Raw genomic sequence first — 19,549 nt, 5'->3', positions numbered from 1 at the left:
GACAAGCAATGTCGATTTGAGCTTTTCATGCATGTGGGCATAGAAAAGAGTGGTGAAGAGGCTATAAGAATGAGGCAGAAGTTTGAATGCCTCCTGGTAGTTGTGTAACCTTATTTCACCAAATTCATTTTCTCATCTGCAAAATGAGACTGGTAATCAAAAAACCTACTTTAATGAATCAATATGATAATTACATAACAGGTGGTAAGCATTTGAAAATATTTCAAAATTATATTACTATTAAAAAAGAATGATAGGAAAGGAAACATTTTCCAGCCTCAACTCTGTGGTTTACCTGCTTCCAAACATTAATCCCTACACTACCTACAGCTACCTATCCACCTACCAATCTCACTGATGTGACCAACATTTAGAATGCACCAGCCTTTTTCTCCAAGCCTCCAGGCAGCCTACAGCAGACTTCCACAACACACTTGAAATCCTTCCACCCTTCCCCTTGCCCTCAGGTTCTCCGCCTCATATGTTCCCTCAAGCCAACAGATTTTCACCCAGATACTAGCTTCCTGCATGCATCAACATGATTATATCTTCCCCTTCCTCACTCTACTAAGTTTCTTCTAGCAAAGCACAGCCCTCCAAAGCCAGATTCCAGGAAAAGTCCCACCCACCAATGAACATACTCAGCTTGGATCCTCTAATCGCGGCCCAGGGTCAAAGTCCCAGGTTCACTCAGACTAAAAGTGGTACTATGCCTCCTGCATTACCATCCAAATAACTACTCCCACAGAGATGACGCTAGAGACCCTACCCAGCCTTATTCTCCTGTGAATCTCTACAGAACCACTTAACGGCCCCTATCGAGATTAATTTAAACCTTACTTATTAAAAAGTAAAGGCCCTCTTCTTTCTCCATTTTCCATGGTCCTCTTCATGGCTGGCCTTTCAAAACACAGCCTGGAGAATAAAGCAGCTTCTCCCTGCTTCTGCATCTGCTACTATCTTGCTAATAGGTCCTTCTCTCACCTGTCCTTCTTCCACCTGGACAACTCCTACTCATTCCTAGAGGTTCAGCTCAGACACCCCCCTCTCTATAGTGGTTTCCCTGAGGGTGAGCCTTCTCAGTGAAGAGCAGCCAAAACTTACCCTGTAAAAGCACTTAATACACGGACATGCCCCACTCCACCTTTTTCCCTCCCCCTCACACACACCACACACTTGTGTGCTCCTCAAAGGCAGGGACCATGTACACCTCATCTTTGTACGCTCAGGGCCAAGCCAGTTTCTGGTTCACCGTAAGCAGGCTCCAACCCCGGGTTTTACCTGCTACCTGCCATTTTCTATCTCCCTGTCTTTTTTCTGCTTAATGCAGCAAATATCTGTGCTAAGGGGGCTACACAGTTCTTATGAGTTACACTCTACCCGTGTACAAAATCCCCATCATCCAGCATCTTCAGCATAGTTCTGAAATCAAATCCGATCTAACTCTTGCCCCATTCCCAATTAACCCAGACTGGCTCAACAGCAGGGTAAAGTCACACGTCACCACCAAGAAGCAAAAGTTCTGGGTTGTAATTTTGAACACATCCCTAATTAGCTATATGACCTTGGGCAAGGGTTAAAATAAAGGTGACAGCAGCAGCAGGCCTCATTCTCAGGGGACCTTTGAGATTCAAATGGAGTATCTGATTGGAAAGTGTTTTATAAAGTGCAAAGCACTGTACATTCATAAACGACATGATGAACAATTTTATCAGATTTAAGCCATCAACTATAAGATGTGCCATTACCAACTTAGGATGAAAAACAACTGCACAACTATGGTACATTGTAATAAGACAACCACATTTCAGTGATATTAAAATGTGAAAAAAGTGTGTTTTACAATTGATTCGATACAACGTATTTGTCTCAATAAAATACAGGAATCTGCTATAAAATTTTCATATTTGCCAATGGTACGTAATAGGTATTCAGTAACCTATGTCGAGTAAATGAACAAGAACCAATTGATAATATTATTTTTCTTGGGGGGGTGGGGCGCAGCAGAGGAAATGGAGTCTCACTCTGTCACCCAGGCTAGAGTGCAATGGTGCAATCTCGGCTCACTGCAACCTCCTCTTCCCAGGTTCAAGTGATTCTCCTGCCGCAGCCTCCCAAGCAGCTGGTACTACTACAGGCACATGCCACCACACCCGGCTAATTTTTGTATTTTTAGTAGAGACGGGGTTTCACGATGTTGGCCAGGCTGTCTTAAACTCCTGACCTCAGGTGATCCACCTGCCTCGAGCCTCCCAAAGTGCTGGCATTACAGGCTTGAGCCATCGTGCCAAGCCAATAATATTCTTAGGCCAAATTATTACCTCTCTCATTGGAATTGGGCAGCAGGGGGCTTCTCGATGCCAGTACCTCCCCTCTAAATCATGTCTCAGCCTGCTCAAAACCCTCAAATGATGAATTTAAGATATATCCAAACTCCTTAGCCTGGCATTTTTAAGCCCCTTTATAACCAAGTTTCCTCTCCCGTCCATCATTTCCTGGAACTGTCTTCACCAGAATGTGTCACTCTAAGAAAGATCCTACTCAAGTCCCAGCCACAGCAATCAGCTCATCAGCTCAGCTTCTCCTCCCTCTGCGTACACTCAAAACCAACTCTAGACCCATGCTGCTTACAGAGAGCCTGCCTCTGGGGGGACTGCCAGACCCTAAGGCCCCAGGCTTTTACCCCTACCATTCAGAATAGGTAATCCCCTCTGGAGCCTACATTCTAGACTATAAAGTTTTGGGTGTTGGGGTTGGGGCCTGCATTGTAGAAATTAAATGCAAAAATGCACACTCTCCTTTGTTTGTTGTTGTTGTTTTTTGTTTTTTTTGAGAGGCAGTCTCCCTCTGTCGCCCAGGCTAGAGTGCAGTGGTGTGATCTCAACTCACTGCAACCTCTGCCTCCCGGGTTCAAGCGATTCTCCTGCCTCAGCCTCCCGAGTAGCTGGGACTACAGTTCCCCGCCACCACACCCAGCTAATTTTTTGTATTTTTAGTAGAGACAGGGTTTTGCCATGTTGCCCAGGCTGGTTTCTAACTCCTGAGCTCAGGCAATCCGCCCGCCTTGGCCTCCCAAAGTGCTGGGATTACAGGCGTGAGCCACCGTGCCTGGCCCACACACTTTTTCCTTTAACTGCCCCCTGGTGCTGGCAGGAACTGTGCAAGCAGAAAAACTGGTGACGAAGTGGAGAAAACCATATTGGATGTCCTAACCCCCCACTGTCCACCATTATTGACCATAGGCTCTAGGTCTAGCACCCACCTTCGTGGACCTTTACCTATTCTTCTATCTATAAGAGTTGAGGAAGGGGGAGGATGGGAGAGGGAGCTAGATGCTTTGTAAAGGTGCCTAGCCACACTTTCCCCTTCTTCACTTTAGGCTTTCTTAAAATGCACATGTGCAGGGAAAGGTAAGCCATTAAGTCATCAACACCTTAGTGAGAGTGAATTTTACAGGAAAGGCAAGAGATTTAGTAAAAGGGGAAGGAATGGAAAGAGAAAGGGGACTGGAAACACAGTTAAGTGAGTTTGGTACTAGCAAAAGCCCCAGAGAAGACCCTGAGTTCTCGCTAGTTGTTTTGTGTTGGGGGAGGGAAAGCAGTGGATCCCTTCTAAGGGAAGGGAAGCCAGAGAGATTTTTCAGTTCTCCTACGACTCCGAGGTTCCAAAGACTCTGCCCTGTCCAAGCACCCAGGCACAATTCCACTGATTAGCTCATCTCATATCACAACCTCCCCCATCCCCAACCCCTTGCCTCCAACTAAAGAATATTTATACTTTCATCTCCATTTCCCACACTACTTAGTCTTCTCTGGCCCACGGTTCCCTCGAAGAGATGTCTTCCTCCAAGCCGCTAGCTGGCTTCAGGAAACTCCTCAACCTCCAAAAACCCCATTCAGTGCAGGACTCTCCAAAAGGCCGTCCCAGGGACCAGAAAATCAAACCCCCTCCCTGGAACTTCCTTTAACTTTGTCCACGCCTTTGCTCCAGCACTTAGCATTTTCTACCCTAGGCCAGGTTTGACTCCCAGGTTCAACTGAGTTCCTTGAGGGCAACGTCCAATACACCCAGCACAGGGTCTGCCACACACAGGGTGCTAGAGAAATGCTTAGAGAAAGGGAACTTAAGTCCGGAGCCAACTATTTGAATTATGGTCTGGCCTCTAGTAAATAACTTCCGGGCGACCCTCCTTCTCTCTGGGCCTCAGCTGCCCCAACTGTAAAATGGGAGGACTTGGAGGACTGGGTCTAGGCCCTTTCCGCTGTGACAACTGTGATTCCGCGAAAGCTCTAAGCGGATGGGCGTGGCCCCGCCCCCTGGGCGCCCAGAAAAGTCCGGGCAGGGGGCGCGCAAGGCTCCAACCCCGCCTAGCCTGGGGTCGACGCTTTTGGAAAAACTCTGGGTCCCCCTCCCCCATGGCGTGCACCCCGTGATTGGGCCGCGGCCGGCACTTCCGCACAGCGGGCCAGGCCAGAGCAGGGCGCGCGCCCTGCGCTCTTGCCACCCCGGAGGCGCTCGCGCCGGGGGAGGGCTGGGGGTTCCCGAGGCGCCCGCGGGTGGAGGGTGAGGGGAAGGAAGGATTTGCAACAATACCTCAGGGAGGAGGCAGCCGGGGCAGCGGCGGTGGTGGTGGCGGCGGCGGCGGCGGCGGCGGCGGCTGGAGGCGGAGGCAGAGGCAGAGGAGGAGGTGCCCGGGCACTCCCCCTCCCATTGTCCCCAGCCCCGGACAGGCCCGGCCCCGCGCCCCACACTGGCCTCCTCGAGCGCGCCGCCCGCGCCCAGCGCCCCACGCCCCGCGCCCCGGGCCGTGCAGCCAGCCCTTACCTTGCAGCGCCCGGCTGTCTCCCGATCGCTAAAGCTACTTATCCCGGGAAAGCTCGCGCGGGACCCGGGAACGAACCCACAGACAAAAAGTGAAACTTCGGCAGGGCTGGAGCGGCTGCTGGTTGGTGCCTTTCCCCCTCCTTCCTCCCCACCGTCCCCACCCCCTCCCCTTGGTCTCCCGTGCGGTGCCCTGAGCGCTGGAGGCTGACGTCAGGGGCCTGAATTCCTGACTTTGCCTGCACGCATTTGTCCATGTAAGGTATGGGAAGGCGTGTGCCCGCGAAGCCGCCGCGCAGAGCTCGCCTGGCGGGGGAGGGGAAACCCGCAGCCGGCAGTGGCTTTGCCAAAAGGTGGGCGCACTGAGGGCATTGCATTTCCTGGGAGGAAGAGGAGGAGACGCGGGAATGCAGGGAGCTTGCAAAGGAGGAAGAGAAAGAGGGAGATGTGGAGACTTTGCCCCTGCTAGAGGAAGAGGAAGGAGACGTAGGAGGAAGCGGCCGCGTCAGGGGGCTCCTGGAAAATGGAAAAGCCTGCGTCTACTATTAAGGCGTCAAATTAGGGCACTGAGCTTGAGTGGAAGAGATCCAGCCATGAAATCCCCTTCCAAGATTTTCCTCGTGAGCCCCGCCCTGGATTCCCAGCAAGACTCAAAACTTACAAGGTGTCAGAGCTGGCAAAGACCAACTTCCAACCCGTCCGCTTGGCACGTGAGGAAACTGAAGCTCTCGGAAGAGAAATGACTTGTACAGGGTCGTCACTCAGCAGATCGAGGAGCGGGCCCAGGCGCTCTGCCTCCCACTTGGGTTCCCGCCTCCAGGAAGGGCCCTGGCTCCCTTTTAGCCCTGAGCCTTGAAGCAGGTTAGATGCCCGCGAGCTGTGCGGACCACCCAGTGATTTCTACTGCTCTTGGCCCAGAGCCAGTTCCTGGAAGGTCCTGGTTGACAGCGAGCCCTGAATATCAATGACAATCAGTTGCTTCAGGGCAACTTCCTCTGTCCTGTGCTCAAATAAATGAATCCCTGGAGTTTAACGTTTACTTCTGAGCCCCGCCCAGAAAGCTTGCTCTGTGCTTATAGCTTCAAAAAAGTCTGCGAACGAGATGAACTGGTTTGAATACAGACAAGCCTGTCATTGGAAGTTTTGAGTTGGATTTTTCTTTCCCCTCTGACATCTGTAAGGGTGAACGACGATGAGAACCACCACTTAACTGTGTTAGGGGATTATGACGCGCAGCAGCCATGGCCAGGAAAGCATTCCATACCCTGAGACTTCCTTTCCTTGCACTTCTCTCCTATTAATATCTAAAGTAATCCCTCACGTTAGCACATAATGAAAGCAGTCTCTCACCCGGCTATTGCATCTTCAGGTGAGTTAGATAGGACAGAGCGTAGTCCCCCCTTTACACCTCAGACAAAAACTTAAGAAACGTTACTCGCCCAACACAAAACAACTGACTGACCAAGCACCTGTCTTCCCCTCCTCCCATCCAGGTCTCCTGACTAATCCCTTCATCTTTCCATACCTGGCCCTGACCTCTAGCAGGACCTAATTCCATTCATAACTGTTGAGAGTACACCATGAGCTACTGATTCATAAAAACTCCAAAAAGTGGTTCTTCTGAGGATGGACTTTAGTGGGATTCTTTTGACCAGGAATTAAGGAAATAATGTAAAAACACATGTTATTGGATTTATTAAGCACCTTCCTTGTGCTTAATAAGTGTTTGAATTCAGACATTTCAGGGGTAAGACTACTTAACCTCTGTGTTCCTCTCAACTATCTAATGTACACATACAAAAATATGAACATGGCTGGGCGCGGTGGCTTACACCTGTAATTCCAGCACTTTGGGACGCCGAGGCGGGCAAATCACCTGAGGTCAGGAGCTCGAGCCAGCCTGGCCAACATGGCAAAACCCCATCTCTACCAAAAATACAAAAAACTAGCTGGGCGTGGCGGCGAGCGCCTGTAATCCCAGGTATTCCGGAAGCTGAGGCAGGAGAATTGCCTGAACCCGGGAGGCAAAGGTTTTAGTGAGCCGAGATTGCGCCACTGCACTCCAGCCTGGGGGACAGAGCAAGACTGTTGTCAAAAAAAAAAAATATATATATATACAAACACATATATATACACATATATATACATATATACACATATATATACATATATATACACATATATATACATATATATATACACACACACATATATATATACACACATACATATATATATATGAAGGCAGTAACAGAGAGATAAGGTCGAGAATAACCACCCATTCCACAGACTAATAAAGAATTTATCTCTTTGCAACTAACATAGTTTGAAATGGGAGATACGGGCTCTTGGAGAGAGTTTTTTCTGGGGTTCTGAAAAGGTCAGATCCTATCAAAACACAATCCACTCACTCAAACATTTCAGCGTACTCACATTCTGAGTACTACTGTTTAGTATGAAAAGAATTCCAGTGTTACATGAAGTAAAAATGGATTATCTCAATCCTCATGGAATATAACGGGACTTGACCAGCATTTCCTTTTTTTTTTTCCTTCAGTAACTCACTTATAAGGAATAATAGGGTCCTAATGAGGATTAAGATTTAATAAGGTGTAATTAGAGTTGTTCATTTCTTCCATCATATACATTATAAGAGTACTGTGCCGGATCCAGAAATGCTACTAATTATGTTGAAACTGTTGTATGGGTGTGTTGGGGAAGTCACTGTGTTTCTCCTCCTGAAATGTTTATGAATTGCTCAGGTGAGCATGGTGAGCATGGTGTTAGCATGAACATCATATAAAGTTAACTACAAAAGATAATTCTGACTCATGAGGAACTTCCCAAGAGTACAACCACCCAAGTCATAATCTGGATGCTTAGTGAACTGCATACAGTGTTGTCGTCAGTGCTAACCCTACCAAAAGCCTCATTCCCATTTACTGTTCTGGTTTCTTTCGTACTCTTACTTTTCTCAACCTCCTGTTACAACTTTCTACGTGCAGGCGCTTGCGTGAAATGGAAAGGTTGTATGAATTTGCACTCAGTGGTAGAAAAATACTGGTTTACCAATTCAGAGGCTAAAACACAGAATTTCAGGTGTAGTGTGGGGTCGTTTGGGCCAAGGATAGCACACTGGTGGCCTAAAGGCTACCAGCAGCATTTTCATGGGTTCAGTAATGGCATAAAAGACTTTTAGGCAAGCTGGGCTTGGGTCCTGCCTTTCGTTTGCATCCATTACAGTCCTGTACACGTGGCCTTTGTGTAGCTCATGCCAGTCCTTATTTGGAGTTTTCATATACATTTCACTTAACTCTCACAAGACCCCTTCTGAGGTTGGCATTATTATTTTTTTATTTTATCCATGAAGAAACTAAAGCCCTAAAGCCCAGGGAGTTTAAGTACTAGCTCTGTGTTAAGAGCTGAGTAAGCTCATTTTTTTTTTTTTTTTTCTTTTTTTGAGGTGGAGTCTTGCTCTGTCGCCCAGGCTGGAGTGCAGTGACGTGATCTCTGCTCACTTCAAGCTCCACCTCCTGGGTTCACACCATTCTCCTGCCTCAGCCTCCTGAGTAGCTGGGACTACAGGCATTCGCCACCACGCCCGGCTAATTTTTTTTTTTTTTTTTTTTGTATTTTTAGTAGAGACGGGGGTTTCACCAGGTTAGCCAGGATGGTTCGATCTCCTGACCACGTGATCTGCCCTCCTCGGCCTCCCAAAGTGCTGGGATTACAGGCATGAGCCACTGCACCCGGCCCCAAGCTGAGTAAGCTCTTACTCAGCTGAGGGTAGGTAAGCTAAGATTCCACACTGATCCCTGGCAACCTGGCACCTTGCTCACCCACTGTTGAGTGACCATCTGCTCTCAGTTTGAACACTCAAGCGTAGGGAACTTATGATCTCCTACAGCTGAGCAAGAGGAAAAGTTCTGAAGAGGCTATTAGAAAAATAATAAGAATAAGAGGGCCATGGGTGATAGAAGGTAAATACCCATCTGCTGTTGCCTCTGAGAGCCTAAAACCTATCAGGCCAAATGCCTCTAGTATGGTTTGCACGGACCTTCATAATTTGGCACCTACTTGTCCCTTCAGCCTCATTTCTTCCAGGCCTTTATGTGCCCCCACCCTCCACCCTCCTTCTAGTAGTTTTCCAAGCACATCTTACCTCTCCCTGCTTATCTCTGTTTGCATATCTTCCCTTTTCCCTCGGGAGTCCTCAGCCTTCTCTTTCAGATAACTTCAAGTGACGGGGCCTGAATGCAAGCAGACCAATGAGAGTTGCCCAGGCATTTGGAAGTAGCAATCAAGACTAGCATGGGGGCCAGGTGCGGTGGCTCACGCCCGTAATCCCAACACTTTGGGAGGCCGAGCCAGGCGGATCACCTGTGGTTGGGAGTTTGAGACCAGCCTGGCCAACATGTGAAACCTCGTCTCTACTAAAAATACAAAAATTAGCAGGGCATGGTAGTACACGTCTATAATCCCACCTACTCGGAAGGTTGGAGCACAAGTATCACTTGAACCTGGGAGGTGGTGGTTCCGGTGAGCGAAGATCACTGATTTTTCATAAGTGTGTTTGATCTCCTCCATGCAAATATAGGATTCTTTATAGTCGTCTTCATGTCTTGTTCATTTCTCTTCCCCAGCAGCCAAGGCAGTACCTGGCACTTGCAACCAAATGCACTCTAGCCTGGTTGACAGAGCAAGACTCTGTCTCAAACAAACAAACAAACAAACAAACTAGCATGGAGAGGGACACAAGAGAGAAATGTTTATGGTCCTTGCCTTACCCTAAATTACTGTGCAACCTTTTGGCAAGTCACTTCCTCTCTATTCTGAGTTTCTTTATCTATTCAATTGGGTTCTTAGATTTGGTGGTCTCTAACACTCTCCCAGTTTTTCAATTTGATGTTACATTCTACCCAGTGACCAAATTCATATTCCAGAAGCATAGTATGCTATGTCATACCGCAAATCTTGTAAACGTTCCTGATATGGTTTGGCTGTGTCCCCACCCAAATCTCATCTTGAATTGCAGTTCCCATAATCCACACATGTAACAGGAGGGACCAGGTGGAGCTAATTGAACCATGGGGGCGATCTCCCCCCACCTGTTCTTGTGATAGTGAGTTAGTTCTCATGAGATCTGATGGTTTTATAAGGGTCTTTCCCCTTCACTGGGCACTCATTCTTCTGCCTCCTGTTGCCACATGAGGAAGGACATGTTTGCTTCCCCTTCTGCCATGATTGTAAGTTTCCTGAGGCCTCCCAGCTATGCTGAACTGAGAGTCAATTAAACTTTTTTCCTTTATAAATTTCCCAGTCTTGAGTATGTCTTTATTAGCTGTGTGATAATGGACTGATAGGGTTCAATAATATCAACCAAATTAAGTTCATACCCTGCAGCTTCCCCTTCCTCATTTCATGATCAAATCCTGATGGCCTTTTCCAACTATAAGTTGTACCTCCAACACCCCCTCCTCCACCACACACATACACACACACACACACACACACACACACCACTTCCTTTACTTCCTGCCTCTGGGCTTTTGCACGTTTAGTTTTCTCCTCTTGAACCTAAAAGACTTTCCAGGGCCATCTCTGAATCTGCAGATTCTACATGTCCAGCCAACCCCCTCCCATTGCCCATTCCTTCCAAACTCCCTCCATTAATATGAAAATAACTTCTCTATTTTCTCAAAAAGATACCCATCTCATTATCCCAATGCATTACAACTTTTCATCAGTGTGTTTGATCTCCTCCATGCAAATATAGGATTCTTTATAGTAGTCTTCATGTCTTGTTCATTTCTCTTCCCCAGCAGCCAAGGCAGTACCTGGCACTTATAACCAAATGTCAACCAGTAAGTGAGTGAATGAGTGAATCACTCCTTCACTCAATGTGGATAGAAAAGCAACACAATTGATGCTGTCTCTCTGGAAGTTTGGTCATGTTTCTTTAGACCATGACTCTGAGCAGGCATCAGGAGGGGCAAGGGGAAGAGACAGGACTAATATTGGTCATTTGTTACAATGTGCTGTGTGTGCACTTTCTAGGCCTTCTAACGATTACCATACATAAATTGTATAAATTTTCCGATAACATCATTCTGCTACTAGAATAGACATGAAATTAAAGCCGTGGTTATTTTGCAACTTTATATAAACAAAATTTAAAAAGATACCTAAGGGCATCTTTTTTCAGAAATAACTAAGCATAAGTGACAGTTTTAATATTTTATGTATCCTCTTCTATAGTTGAACATAGGTCTTTTCCAAGATTATAGTACCAGTGTCATATACAAACCAGGCCTTTGGGTGACAGTGACTCCAGCTCGGCCCAATGAGCATCAGTCTTTTGAAAAGAGGTTAAAAACTTAACATGGTAAATAGTAGTGCAGGCTTGTAATGAATGCAACACTAAAGATAATAAAACAGTTTATAGACCGGGCATGGTGGCTCACACCTGTAATCCCAGCACTTTGGGAGGCTAAGGCAGGAGAATCGCTTGAACCCAGTGGGTGGATGTTGCAGTGAGCCAAGATCGTGCCACTGCATGCCAGCCTGGGGGACAGAGTGAGACTCCCTCTCAAAAAAATAAATAAAATAAAATAAAACAGATTATAAAAGGTTTGCTTACTCTCTCTTCTTCACATCTCATTGTAGAATGGAGGAAGAAAGTGAATGTAAAATGAAAAGAATGTATCATCAGACTTCCTAAATGAATGTTTTCTCTTTTTATTGAGTACTAGGTCTTTGATGTCACAAGGTAATTTCTTCATTAGCTTACAGGAATCAAATCAATATGGACAAACAATCATTTGTATCTGTCCCCTGAGTTTCTGCACAATGTTACCCAGTTTTTAGTAAGTGGCTATAATGTTTTGCATTTTGCCAGATCACAGGATCGGATTGTCTGAATGCATTTTGTTGTATCCCAACTCGGCCACCTGTACCAATTTAAAGGCTTTTGACCTCAGGTAAGTGCAGGACTTAGAAGAGATATGATCGTGCCTGGAAGCCTGTGAATCTTCAGAGATCAGGCAGAGCATTCTCACAGTGGGGGCCAGTCTCTTGTGGCAGAGATGTTGGTAGGCAGAGCTTTAATCCTTTTTGTGTTCACTACCAATGAAAAGTTTCAAAGAGGCTCAAACAACAAGGGAGACAACTTATGCCATCTTTTTTGCTCTAACAACAGGTTATTACTGCACCTACTAGCCTTATTAGGCCTGGGAATACAGTGTTGAGAAAAACATTAATAGACTCAGTTCCTACCCTACATCCTAAAACAAAGATAATACATAGTACCAATTCCAAGCAGAGGAGTGTGTTGAGATAGCTTGGCTGAGACCTCCCAGGTGGACCACTGGATGGGCTGGATCCACCACTGCAGCTGAGAGGCTCCTTTGATGGTGATGGGGCAGGCAACGATGATCCTGGAGACACAACCGAGGACCCACTGGGGAAACACAAACATGTCATGAACATTTTTGTCTTCACACAACAACAGAAGCAGGAGGTAAAGGATAATGTCCAAAGGTTTGAGTTGCATGGAGCTGAAGAAGGTCTGCCAGTTCTTGATGAGCTCAGTACCTGGAATAGGCTTTAGGATGTGCCTTGCCTCATTCATGGCTGCAATCCACAGTCTCACTGACTCCCTGAGCATCACAGCAGATATTAGGTCAGTTTTAGATAAATAGAAAGAAGTCCATGATATATATCTATATAAATCTCTTTATATATACATATATTATATATATGTATATATATACATATATTATATATATGTATATATAATATATTATATATATGTATATATATACATATATTATATATATGTATATATATACATATATTATATATATACATATGTTATATATATTATATATGTCTTCTATATATACATGTATATATACACAGTTTAATTGAGGTATAATCTGCATACCATAAAATTCATTCACTTTAGGCAGAAGTGGTTTTTAGTAAATTTAGTAAATTTATGGAATTGCATAACCATCACTGCATTCTAATATTAGAGCAGTTCCATCACCCCAAAACGAAACCTTGCACCCATTTATAGTCATTGCCTATTCTTATCTTCAGACCCAAATATCTACTAATCTACTTTGTGTCTCTATAAGATTTGCTTTTTCTGGACATTTCATGTAAATGGAATCATAGAACGTGTGAACTTTTGCATCTGATTTATTCCACTTACCATGTTTTCAAGGTTCATTAATGTTGGAGCATAATGTATTAATACTTTTTTCCTTTTTATGGCCAAATAATATTCAATTATATGGATATACCATATTCTCTTTACTCATTCATCAGTTGCTGAACATTTGGCTTATTTCCGTTTGGGGGCTACAATGAATGAAGCTGCTGTGACCATTCAGGTACATATTTCTATGTGGACATATATTTTCATTTCTTTTGGTTACATGATATTTTAAAGTGGGAGAAAAAGCATAGATGTAATTTTTTAAAGGATTTGAAAGGGTATGCTTAATGTTATAAAAGTGATTGTTTTAAAGTGGTAGAATTATTTATTCTTTTTGCTTACCTAAATTTTCTAATTTTCTTACAATAAATGTGTCACTTTTAAATTTTCCTATGTGTCTGTAATAAGACAGACAATACAGCTTTTTTAAGACAAAAAAGCAAACACATATTTGGGAAGATGTGATCCCTTTTGTTTGACCTTGAATCTTCTCAGCAATCTATGCCAGAAGGTTTGTGGTGGAATATTATTTTGAAATATTTAATTAGATCTTTACCCGTATTTCTAGACCTTGGCTCTTTATTCACCCAACTAGCTAAGACAGTCTGTGTTAGTGCATTCCCAGGGATGGAATAGACCTCAAATTGAAGGAGGCTAGGTTTCTTTTACTTTCAGAATAAACTTAATTTTAATTGCATACTCCCAATTATAGAAAATTTTCACATTTTTGCTTTTGAGTTTGTGGACTAAAATTAGCAGACTTTTACAGGTTAACCAGTCTTTATTTGAGAATCATCAAACTCAACATCGCTCAAAATTGAATTCTCCCGGGCTCTGCCTTCTTCCCACTTCCCTGTCTCCTTTCATGGTACCCCAGCCTTCTTGTGAGGAGGATGCTCACAACCTGTGGTCATTCTTGACTTCCCTCTCCCTAACTCCTCATTCCAACCACTGGTCAAGTCTGGCTGATTCTACCCACAAATTCAATGTATGGGTAGGGAGAGAAGAGAGGCAGCGATTTTATTTCTTTATTTATGAAACAGAGTCTTGCTCTGTCATGGAGGCTGGAGTGCAGTGGCACAATCTCAGCTCACTGCAACCTCTGCCTCCCGGGTTCAAGTGATCCTCCCACATCAACCTGCCGAGTAGCTAGGATTACAAGTGTGTGCCACGCTTGAAAATTTTTTTTGTATTTTTAATACAGACAGGGTTTCACCACGCTGGCCACACTAGTCTCAAACTCCTTACCACAAGTGATTCAACCTCCTCAGCCTCCCAAAGAGCTGGGATAAGAGGAGTGAGCCACCGCTCCCGGCCCAAGAGGCAACAATTTAAATTTAAATGGTGATCCTCTCCACCAGGATTCTTGTGAGTGGAGATGCAAGACCTGAACCTCCTGGCCCACACTAGTTCTCACATCTTTACCTGCTTTTCATGGAGTGCTCTTACCTTGTTGATTTTACTGTTTAAAGATACCCATATTTGGCCGGTGGGTGGTGGCTCACACCTGTAATCCCAGCACTTTGGGAGGCTGAGGCAGGCGGATCACTTGAGGTCAAGAGTTCGAGCCCAGCCAGGCCAACCTGGTGAAACCCAGTCTCTACTAACAATACAAAAATTAGCTGGGCTTGGTAGCAGGTGCCTGTAATCCCAGCTACTCAGGAGGCTGAGATAGGAGAATCGCTTGAACCCGGGAGGCAGAGGTTACAGTGAGATCGTGCCACTGCACTCCAGCCTGGGTGACAGAGAGAGACTGTGTCTCAAAAGATAATAATAAAATAAATAAAGATACCTATATTTTATTCAGCATGGCCCCAGTTAAAAGCCAGTTGCTGCTTCTGGTGCTCAACCAATAAATTGTGATTAGTCCCAAAGCTAGAGGAAAGGGGATTGTATCCTACGTATTTTTCAAGGATAATTTTAAGCAAAAATGTCCACATGATTTTATTTCAATCATCAACACTTACAGTAGGGTGGACTCCACCGTATGTTCACAAGGAAAATTCAAATGTAGTTTGAATATACAACGTTAGCACAATGCTAAAATAAACAAACTGGAATAAAAATAGATACCTATAGAGAATAGTAGGGCAGTAATTCATATCTGTGGCCCTAACATGATTTTTTTTTCTCTGTCGCACAGGCTGGAGTGCAGTGGTGCAATCTCAAACTCCACCTCCCGGTTGCTCACTGCAACCTCCACCTCCTGGGTTCAAGTGATTCTCCTTCCTCAGCTTCCCAAGTAGCTGGGATTACAGATGTGCACCACCACGCCCAGCTAATTTTTGTATTTTTTTTTAGCAGAGGTGGGGTTTCACTATGTGTTGGCCAGGCTGGTCTTGAACTCCTGACCTCAGGTGATCTGCCTGCCTCAGCCTCCCAAAGTGCTGGGATTACAGGCGTGAGCCACCGCGCCAGGTGTACATGATTTTTTAAACCAAAAAGCTTCCAGTATTTTCACCTTCCATTTGAACCTTACAAAGTCCCACTAAGGCACTTGGTATTCCCTCATTTATCAGGCTAACTCACAGAACACCATACTACCTTAATATCTCACCTCTCAATCCGATTCGCTCTAGCTCCAGATCACCCAGGTGGCTACCACTTGTAAGCTGAGGCACTGAAAAGGCTCTGGCTAAAAGATCTAGTTTCCTTTCAGCACACGAGTTTATTATAAACTTTCTCTTTCCCTGTGACACATGGCATAATAGGCAGGAAAGAAGTGAAGCCCTTTAAGATTTCCTGAGCAGAAATACAAGAAGCTTGAATGGTTTGGGTGGCATTTATAAGTTCCAAGTAGGACTGGTCACATTTCTTTAGGTTTCCCATGGAGATGTGGTTGAGATGAAGCCCTCAACCACATCACTGAGCCAAGGGAGGATGCTCAGATTGGGAAGCAAGAGACCTGGGCTCTAGTCCCAGCTCTGTGATAAATATATGATCCCGAATAAGTAATTTCCTCTCCCTGAGCCTTATTCATTTTTATTTCTCTTTCTTTCTTTCTTTCTTTCTTTCTTTCGTTCGTTCCTTTCTTTTCCTTCCTTTCTTTCCCTCTCTCTTTCCTTCCTTCCTTCCTTCCTTCCTTTCTTTTTCTTTCTTTCTTTCTTTCTTTCTTTCTTTCTTTCTTTCTTTCTTTCTCTTTCTTTCTCTCTTTCTTTCTCTCTTTCTTTCTCTCTTTCTTTCTCTCTTTCTTTCTCTCTTTCTTTCTTTCTTTCTTTCTTTCTTTCTTTCTTTCTTTCTTTCTTTCTTTCTTTCTTTCTTTCTTTCTTTCTTTCTTCTACAGGATGAAGATCCTCATTCCTGTCCCACCTTCTGTATCTTTATGGCATGGACCAGATAAAACAATGAATGTAAAAGTACATTACAAACTGTAAACACCATGCAATGTATGGAATTTCTGGTTGAAGTTCATGATTCCTGACACTGCTTTTCCTATCCCCACTCAATGTTTTCACCCGCTGCTTTCAAAGTGAACCCCCAGTGTTCTTTTGTGGTCTATTTGACCCTTAATTTGTCAACCTATTAAGAATGATCTACTAAACCACAAACTGACCTAAATTCAATATATATTGAGCCTTAATTTCCCCAAGTAGAATATAGATAACTTTCCAGCACCAAGCTCTGAAATTGAGGATTACTGAACTAATGTCTAAATGCTCTGAGAGCTTTTCTTTAAGGAAGAAAAGTGGTTGCTGCTTTGGGACGATGGCTGAATCTCCAATTAAATTCTTTAAAGCACAAGGCATTGACATTTTATTCCTACCTCTGATTACATTAAAGGATTATGTCTGATTGCTGTGGCAGATGTAAGAAGAGGAAACAGATTTGATTTTGTTTCTATGTTATAATGACTAATTATTACAGTTCAAAAAAAATCTAAATTTCAGTGTCTCCCATTGCATGCATCCCACTTAATCAAAAGACAAATAGCATTCATTGGGATGAAGAATAAGAGAATTAAGAATCCTGGGCAGTTTATCTATGCCTGTCACTAACTCACTGCTTCATATTTGACTATGAGATGATCATCTTTCATGCTCGGTTTGACCTTTTAGTGAATGTAATGCAAGAAACTCCCCCTGGCCCAGCACCTTCCGTCTTACAATCAAAAAAGCAACTATTAATGATCTGGCAATGGTGTGTTGCTATCTAAATAGGGTACTGTATATCCATGTTGCCCTGGACAATCCTAAATCATGACTATCTTCTCGGGCTAATTTTATTTATTTATTTATTTATTTATTTATTTATTTATTTATTTATTTTGAGATGGAGTTTTGCTCTTGTTGCCCAGGCTGGAATGCAGTGACACAATCTCGGCTCATCACAACCTCTGCCTCCTAGGTTCAAGCGATTCTCCTGCCTCAGCCTCCTGAGTAGCTGGGATTACAGGCATGCGCCACCACGCCCGGCTAATTTTGTATTTTTAGTACAGATGGGGTTTCTCCATGTTGGTCAGGCTGGTCTTGAACTCCCAACCTCCGGTGATCCACCCACCTCAGCCTCCCAAAGTGCTGGGATTACAGGTGTGAGCCACTGCACATGGCCTTCTTAGGCTAATAGCATTAATAGCATTGCCTTTTACTCTCAAAAGTCGCCCAATTTGGGTGATTGACATTTTGGTCACCCTACAGCATAGAACTTCTTCAAATAAACTTTCTTGAGTACCTATTAATGCAGAAGCTCCTGAACATGATACTTACTTGACTTGAAGCAGTCATGGATCCTACTCTACGAAAAAAAAAGGCTAATAAGCTGTATATACATACTTTACATAAAGTGTATACTTACTGTATTTTAAAATGTGATGGGTGTGCAGAGAGGAGTAGAATTCTTTTTGTTCTTTTATTCTTTCACAATTATTTTTAAGTACCTACTATAAAACAGGTAGATAACTGAATACCACGAACAACATATAATACGTTATGGCCAAGAAGGTGTAACACACTAGTTCAGGTTATAAACAAGTAAAAACAAATATAAACAAGTATGTATATATTCAGTTACTGTAGAGTGATCTATGTTAAGGTAAGGATGAGTCGGAGTGTTATGGGAGCCCATTGGAAGTGCACATAGGTCTTGAGGAGCAGGAGGGCAGAGAAGATTTGCAGAAAGAAACAACAGGTAAAATGAGACCTGAAAGAAGATTAAGTGTTAGCTAGGTGAAGAAATGTAGGGTAATGAGGAGTGCTCTAGCCAAAGTATACAGCACATGCAAAGACAGAATTATATTTCAAGATTGTTGTAAACTAAGAGAATTAAAAATAGTTCATTATGGTTTGAGCATAGCATGGGGAGAATAAGAAAAGATGAGCTTATGAGGAAGGAGGCAACAGAACTGGCAAAATTTGGATCAAAGAAGGGAGGAGATTATTCAAAGAAAGGAACAGAGAAAGCACTGGGGTATGGCAGAGCAGCAGGCAATCTATCCTGGATATGGACTTAAGTCCTCGGAGGATTCTTGAGCAAGCAATGGGCTGCCCAGAGCTGTGCTCAGGATGGTTGTTCTAAACAGTGGGACTGGCCTTGTGTGAGCTCAGTTCTTGCCTCTGGTCTCTCCTAGCCTGCCTTATCACCTTGGGGTCAACCTTCATGTATGCACATGTATGTGGCTTCTAATTTTGTAAGTGAAGAAACTCTGGGCCTTTGGGCAAGCTCTGTATCCAGCAGAGTACTGGTTAGCTATCCCGTTCACCATTAGACATTTATTTCTACTTTTTCAGAGCTAGAAAATCTCGGCCCCAACCAACAGACACGCACAGGAAAAAAGCCTGAGGACACCAAGAATTGAGCCAAAAACAGAGTATGACATCCAGCTCTCCTCTGGGGATGGATTTGGCAAGGGTCTAAGTAGATAGAGTGGAATCAAGGGTCTACTGTATCAAAGTAGCAGATTATAGCTCACTTGAAGAAAAGTAAGCAGAAAATAAGACCACGGTGGGGTCTATTTAAAATGCATTGACTGTGTCAGGCAGGATTCTCAGTTTTAAGTAGTGAATTGGACTCTGACAACGTAAGTGGGAAATAATTTACTAAAAAGATATTGAGTAGTTTCTAGAGTCTACTTTGACATGAAAGAACAGGTTCAGAATCTCTATACCAGAAATGAAACTATTTAGTCCAGTGGTGACACTCTTAAAGCAACTACTGGTTATGGACATTACTTGCACCACAAGCATCCCTAACACAGGGTGCTGCCTGTAAAACAGCTGTCATGTTGCGTCTGGAAACTGCATGTGGCCAGTTCTGCTCTGTTTCCTTGAACCACTTGTGTTAGTCATTGGCTGGAACATACACATCTGGCTCGCAGTGCCTACTCTGTGCATCCTAATTGCAAGGAAGACTTAGAAAGTGAGTTTTTCCAGGGGGCTGAGGCAGGAGAATGGCGTGAACCCAGGAGGTGGAGCTTGCAGTGAGCCGAGATCGTGCCACTGCAGTCCGGCCTGGGTGAAAGAGCGAGATTCCGTCTCAAAAAAAACAGAAAACAAAAAAAAAAAAACAAAG

At 44.1% G+C, this 19,549-nt stretch overlaps 1 protein-coding gene and 1 long non-coding RNA gene across 47 annotated transcripts in view, besides 3 other annotated features; one reads left to right on the top strand and one right to left on the bottom strand.

The window, feature by feature from the left end:
- LPP (LIM domain containing preferred translocation partner in lipoma) overlaps positions 1 to 5,825 on the bottom strand; it is a 737,651-nt gene extending 731,826 nt beyond the window's left edge. For 22 of the 46 annotated variants that reach the window (XM_047448115.1, XM_047448105.1, XM_047448097.1 and 19 more), the window contains exon 1: positions 4,594 to 4,689. The gene's annotated coding sequence lies outside the window, so the exon portion shown is untranslated. Of the gene's footprint in view, positions 1 to 4,593; positions 4,690 to 4,824; positions 4,949 to 5,482 lie in introns of those variants that run through there. The other 24 variants (NR_164692.1, XM_047448109.1, NM_001375461.1 and 21 more) reach the window with 2 other exon arrangements.
- Positions 2,556 to 3,454: an enhancer, noted in NCBI's record as "H3K27ac-H3K4me1 hESC enhancer chr3:187873180-187874078 (GRCh37/hg19 assembly coordinates)". NCBI's record gives its function as "activates a minimal SCP1, AML or CMV promoter by ChIP-STARR-seq in primed H9 embryonic stem cells {active_cell/tissue: H9 hESC(primed)}" and the evidence as "EXISTENCE:reporter gene assay evidence [ECO:0000049][PMID:30033119]".
- Positions 4,482 to 4,821: a silencer, noted in NCBI's record as "silent region_14995". NCBI's record gives its function as "represses an Ori minimal core promoter by ATAC-STARR-seq in GM12878 lymphoblastoid cells {active_cell/tissue: GM12878}" and the evidence as "EXISTENCE:reporter gene assay evidence [ECO:0000049][PMID:35858748]".
- Positions 4,758 to 7,640, top strand: LPP-AS2 (LPP antisense RNA 2). The gene has a single exon (NR_036497.1). It is a non-coding gene; the product is annotated as an LPP antisense RNA 2 (long non-coding RNA).
- Positions 5,254 to 6,154: an enhancer, noted in NCBI's record as "NANOG-H3K27ac hESC enhancer chr3:187870480-187871380 (GRCh37/hg19 assembly coordinates)". NCBI's record gives its function as "activates a minimal SCP1, AML or CMV promoter by ChIP-STARR-seq in naive H9 embryonic stem cells {active_cell/tissue: H9 hESC(naive)}" and the evidence as "EXISTENCE:reporter gene assay evidence [ECO:0000049][PMID:30033119]".

This window comes from Homo sapiens, chromosome 3 (assembly GCF_000001405.40).
Source record: "Homo sapiens chromosome 3, GRCh38.p14 Primary Assembly".
Taxonomy (NCBI): domain Eukaryota; kingdom Metazoa; phylum Chordata; class Mammalia; order Primates; family Hominidae; genus Homo; species Homo sapiens.
Note: the sequence above shows the minus strand (reverse complement) of the source record. Positions and strands in the feature narration are given on the sequence as shown.